Genomic DNA, 6,370 nt, shown 5'->3' on the forward strand with positions numbered 1-6,370 from the left:
TCACTCTAGATGGTAAAGTAATAATTACTAAAATGTATTGTTTGCTTTGTAACTTTAATAGATGTAATGTGTAAAGTGATAATACTTTAAAATGGAGGAAATAAAAATGATTTATATAAGAATGATGTTTCTATGTATTACTAAAAGTTTAATAGTATAAATTGGAAGATGATTTGAATAATTAATTTTCCATACACCTATATGGTAAACTTACAACAATAAAAAGTCTCAAAAATATATAATAAAATAATTCATTAGTAATCTAAAGTTCCCTATTTTAAAAAATATTCTTGCATTGCAAAATAAAGCAATAAAGAAAAATATTTGGAAATATATAAAACAAACGGTAAAATGGCAGACATAAATAGAATTATACCAATTATAATCTTAAATGTGAGCAGATTAAAATCCATTCCAGAGGCAGAGATTGTCAGACCGGATTAAAACAAGTGATCCCAATATACGCTGAGATGCAAGGATACTAACGGATTGAAAGTAAAAAGATGACAAAAAATATCCTACAAAGAGCAATCATAAGAACACTGAACTCATTATACTCATAACACACAATATAGACTATTAAAAATGTGAATAGGATTTTAAAAATTTATATTGTAGTAAAAAGGGGGTCAACGCTTTAGGAAGACATAGCTATTACAATCATGTATGCACAGATATGAGCTAAATTGTTTCCTCTATATAGATGCTGAAATTCTAACCACTGAATATGACCTCATTAGGAAATAGGTTATTTGCAGCTGATCAAGTTAAGATACAATCAGATGAGCCTGAATTCAATATGACTGATGTCCTTATTAAAAGAAGAAATTTGAGTAGAGGGAGACATACACACAGGGAGAGTACCATGTGATTATGAGGGCAGAGATTAGCCAAGGAATGCCAAAGACTGCCACTAAACCACCAGAAGCGAGAAACAAGGCACAGAACAGGCTTTCTCTCATAGCCCTTGAAGGGACCATCCCTGCTGACACCTCAATCTCAGACTTTTAGCTTCCAGGACTATAAGACTATAAATGTATGCTGTTCAAGGCACTCAGTTTGTGTTAGTTGGTTATGGCAGCCCTAGAAAACTAATACATGAACTAATAACAAAGCATAATAACATGAAGCAAAAATTGACAAAAGAGGAGCATCAGCAAAATGGCAGTGGAGACAGCTGCAATCTGTCATTTCCCCACAGAAACATCACACAACTAAGAGAAACTGTCCGAACAAACTTTGCCAAAACTCTGGAAAATGGTCAAAAGATTACAACAACCAAGTGAAAGCAGACTCAAGAAAAAGACAACTGGAAAACTTTACGACATTTTAAACTTGTCTTTGCCCCAGCAAATTGGCAGTTTTGAAGTGTCAGAAGCCCACGTTCCCAGTGAGGAAGCCTGGTCCATGGTCCAAAGGAACAAGAGAAGATCTTACCCGCAAGTTATTATGTGTCTGTTCTGACTGGTCTGGGGGATACCTAAAGGACTCATGAAAGGCTTTTTTTTCTGTGTTGCTTGAATACAGAACAGATAAGGAATGGACATTATTAAGAAACTCTGCAAGGAGACTTAACAAACCACAGATGCTTAGGGCAAAAATTAAAGTTTACGCATATAGTAGATCACCTTCAGCACAGTAAGAAAAGGTGGAGAAGCGTATTTCAAAAAAAGACACACAAAATCATTCACGTACATGGGAGAGTCTGGAAAGTCACATGTATTCATAGGTTAAGCCACATGCTGACAAATGTCATAAGAAGACCCTACACTTTCACCTTGGCCGATCCCTCCCCTCAGTGCAAGCTCTGTGCAAGAGTGAACTTGAACTTCACTCAGTGCAAGAGTGAACACACACTTTGTGCCGGCTTTAAAGAACCCAGCACAAAGCCAGTCTGCATGGCCTAGAGACATATTTTGCTGGACAATGATTACTTGTTTTCCTTTTTGTTTTTCTTGTATTTGCCTGTTTGATTGGTTCCTGACATACAAGAAAATCACTGTCAAAACATTAGCTTAACATTTGTTAAGGAAACAAAAAGACTTCGGTGACCACACCTTATAAAGCAAACAGTTTTGTAAATCACTTTGGAAAATTTCACTAAAAAAAAAAAAAATCCTTAACAATATAATAAGTAAAGAAAATTTAAAACCACAAAACATTACTGTGTTTGTAGGGGGTGTTCGATTTGCAGAGTAACCACTTAGTAATTATAGTTATTAGAATGTCCAGTTTTCAAAAAACGTTACAAGGCATACAAAGAATGGGAAAGTGTGGCTCATTCAAAGGAACAAAATAAATTGACAGAAAATATCCCTAAGGAAACCCAGACATCAAACTTACTAGACAAAGACTTTAAAACAACTCTCTTCATTATACTCAAATGTCAAAAGGAAAACATAATCAAAGAAATAAAGGAATCAGAAAAAAATATTAAAAAGCAGGAATATCAGCAAAGAGATAACAGAAATTCTGGAATGGAAAACTACAATGATAAAAATTTCAAAATCACCAGAGGGATTTAAGAGTCTATTTGCACACACAGAAGAAGCCATGAACTTGAAGAGAAGATAATGGAAAATACTGACTCTGAGAAACAGAAAGAATAAAAAATAAACAATGAGCAGAGACTAATGAATCTGTGGGACATCATCAAATAGACCAACATTCATATTCTAGAAGGATAAATTATGTTATTAAAAAGTTTACCCTTCTTTCTTTTCACCTTTCTTCCTTCCTCCTTCCCCCTCCTCTTTACTTTTCTTCCTCTTCCTTTGTCTTCTTCTTTCTCGCCTTCATTATCCCTTTCGCTGTTTCTCTTTCTCCCTTTCTCTTTTTTCTTTTCTTTCAATTTTCTCAATTACTAAGAGATGTTTAAGTACCCTTACCCTGTTAGTAGATACGGTTATTTCTCCCTTTAGTTCTCTTTTGAGATTTATAGTCACTCTAAGTAAAGAGATAACCCAAACATAAGCGTCACCAACAGGCTTTCATACCATTCTTAATTTGGTCCTGTAATTCTTCATTGCTGTATTAACTTTCTGATGCTTTTAAGGATGTTTTATAACAAATTGTTTAGTTTTTTCCACTGGAATGTTTATTCTGAATTATCTAATTCATATTGTAAGTATAGAGGGAGTTTAATATGAAATTATTAAACTAATATTTGTGAAAGAATGTATTTGTGCATTCAACAAATATGTTAATCATCAGACTGTTATTGGGCAGCTGAGCATACAGGAATAAAAATAACACAATTTTTATGTGCACAATATTTATGGAATGCGTTACTGGACCAAATAAATAATTTAGTTAATAACATGACAAAGAACAGAAATTGTATACACTATAGAGCATAGTAATGGAATAATGAATGATTAAAGTTATTAATATTAGGTAGAAAATGAAGGGTATCTTTGAGAGCAGAACTCAAGGAAGCAAGCAATTCACCTTATGAGGAAAGAGTTACCTGTGGATAAAGGAGAAACTGAAAAATTTACAAGTCAAGACTTTTTGAGCAAAAGCAAAAATATGACTATTAGTCACCAATTCAGTAGAGTGAAAAAAAAAGTTGAAGAGATATCTTGGAAGTAAACCATGTTGTGGAAGAGCATGTAGGGTTTTGATAATCATGGGATGATTCTGAATTAATTTTAAATGCGATAGGAATATATGAGATAATTTCACCAGAGAATAACATGATTGTGTTTGCATTTCAAAGGGGTGTATCTGGTGCACTGTGTAGAATAAATAGGTTATGTGAGCAAATAAATTGGGAGGCTACTCTAATCCAGAGAAAAAAGGTAGTGACTTAGGTGAGAATGCTGTCAGGATGAGTGGTAGTAGTGGTGAGAAGTCGTTAGGCCATGGATGTATTTCATAGGACTGGCCAAGAGAACTGCAGCTAAATTGGAGTGTAGGGAGTGAAATGGAGAACTCAAAGATGACTCTCAGCACTGGAAGGTGACAGCTGTCACTGAAGCATGCTGATGCCTCTTATTAAGAGAGTTACGTGGGAATGGCAAGATCAAAACTTCTCACTTTCAAATTTATGAAAAAATATTGTTTTCAGAACGAATGACTTTGGGATCAGAAAGCCACCATTCTAATTGATGGTTCCACGACTACACGGGCTCACACTCCCAAGAGCAAAAGTAAATCATCACAAAGGTGCTTCTTGATAATTCTAGAGAATGGAGAATTACTGTAACATCTTTCTGATTTTAGGAGAGGTAGCAGTTCCCTTTTTAGCCAAAACGCTATTTTTTTTTAAAGCTCAGCCAAGAGACTCCATTATAATTTTCAAATGTGTGTAACTTAAATTCTCATATGAAATACCACTATGCTTAAATTAGTCAAAACATTTTCCCCATCTACAACTCTATCTTGTCACTGCAATCATTTTCACAAGAGTGACTGCAGCTCACAGACCCTAAAAAGGAGAAAATCCAGGGTAGGTTATCTGATCTAGTTAGTTTCGAAGACAGGATCTAGAGATTATTTAATATGAAATAGGTCACCTGAAATGAAGTGTTTACTGAAAACAGCTTGGATCTGCCCAGTTTTCTACCACTGAACCATGCATTTGGTTTAAAAAACACAACAACTCTGGGGAATACCGGCTGCTTCCAACTGTGTTGAAGGTGTTAAAGAAAAGAGCATAAAATTAAAAATGATCATCTGAGGCCTTTATAGTCTCTGCTCAAGAGACAAGAGTCTTCCATTCTTAACAAAACACCCAAATATCTTAATAATTGGGCAAAATCTAAATATCAGAGATAATTTTATCTTGAAGATTGTTAAATTATAATGGTGATTCACTACCTCGCCACGTCTCTGAGTCAAAAATTAGGTTTTTGTTTAGGAATCAATGGTACTCTGCAACTTGGAAATAGGAAGATTTTAGAAGACTCAAACATTGACTTTCTTGTGTGCAAAAAAAAAAAGACGTATTGAGATAAGACAAGTCTTTCCTTGCAAGGATACCTCTAATGCTCATACACCACCTCCCCTAACATTAATACAGCTTCCAGGTCACTAACCAGTGTCAGAGAGCAGCCCATGCAACTAGAAATTCAAAAGATGTCGAACATAGGGTCAAGCCTAGAATAAGAAGTCTTAGCTAATTAAGTATGCTTTTTTCCTGAAATTCATATTAACAAAAACTTGGATATGTCAGAGAATGCATTCTAAGTTCACTCAACCTAGGAGGGAGAAACATAATTTTAAATTAAGAGCTGAAGCATTCTTGTCCTAACAGAAAGCAAGGAAAACGAAATATCACACCACAGGAGGGATTTCACAAATTAGTGTCAACATCAAAACCTTAAAATAGGCAAGGAGAATGCAGATTCACAATGAACTCCTGTACTTGTTTTGTTCAGAGAAGAGATGGTTCTGAGAGAACGACAGTGAACCAACCCCAGCTGGTTTAGTTGGTGCTTTCAACTGCTGCTTCTGATCAACTCCTTTAGCTAGAATAAATTGATGAGGATTTTGGCTTGTGGTATTAGAGATAGTTATTAATTTTTTCCTCTTATTTGCATTGTTCAATGTAGTAAATACTAGCTGCTACTTCAATTCAAATTAATTACAATGAAATATACTTAAATGTTGAATTTTTTAGTCACTGTTGGTTCATTATTGAATATCTTCAGCTAAGATTTCCCATCTAAATACACTTAAGAGGTGGCTTAGTTAACTGGTCGTCCACAAATATTGAAGCTGTTGTTAACTCCTGATATATTCTCTGAAAAGAGAATATTCATGAGCCTCCTCCTGAAATCAGCAGCCTAGAGATAGTTTTATAAATTGGATACAAGTTGGAAATCTATATACTCTTTCAGTTTTTGAAATATTAGCTTCCCAGGGAAGAAAATCAAATTCATAAGATATGTTAGGACAATTTAACTCAAGATGTTCAAAACTGAAATGACATGTTCTACAATATGTGATAAAACCAACCCCTAACAACTTAAAGCAAAACAGGGATTGACCTTAAAGACCTGCCTTTTCCTCATGCCCCAGCCAATCAGTTTTCAAATCTTGCATTTTATTTTGAAAGGTCCTTATCCCCCTGGTCTCTTGTTTCTAGACTTCGCACATATTTAAGTTTGTTACCTCTACTGTCTTTCCTCTTTTCAAACAGTATCTATGCCTGCCAAATGTGAACATACAAAAAACAAATCAGAATATGCCATTCTGATTTAAACTGCTTATTAGTTAATACCCTCAAGATAACATCTGGGTTCTTAGCTGCAATGAGTCAAGCTTACATCTTTTTTTGTCTTTGGCTGCACATTTCCTATCACATCACACTCCAGCAATACCAAGCTGTGCCGTCCTTCTACCCCATCTCCACTATTTTGCC

The 6,370-nt window shown here is 34.9% G+C and overlaps 1 annotated feature.

Annotated features, from left to right (window-relative positions):
• Positions 5,837 to 6,037: a silencer, noted in NCBI's record as "peak3789 fragment used in MPRA reporter construct". NCBI's record gives its function as "represses an SCP1 promoter by STARR-seq MPRAs in K562 erythroleukemia cells {active_cell/tissue: K562}" and the evidence as "EXISTENCE:reporter gene assay evidence [ECO:0000049][PMID:32103011]".

Source organism: Homo sapiens, chromosome 2 (genome assembly GCF_000001405.40).
Source record: "Homo sapiens chromosome 2, GRCh38.p14 Primary Assembly".
NCBI lineage: Eukaryota > Metazoa > Chordata > Mammalia > Primates > Hominidae > Homo > Homo sapiens.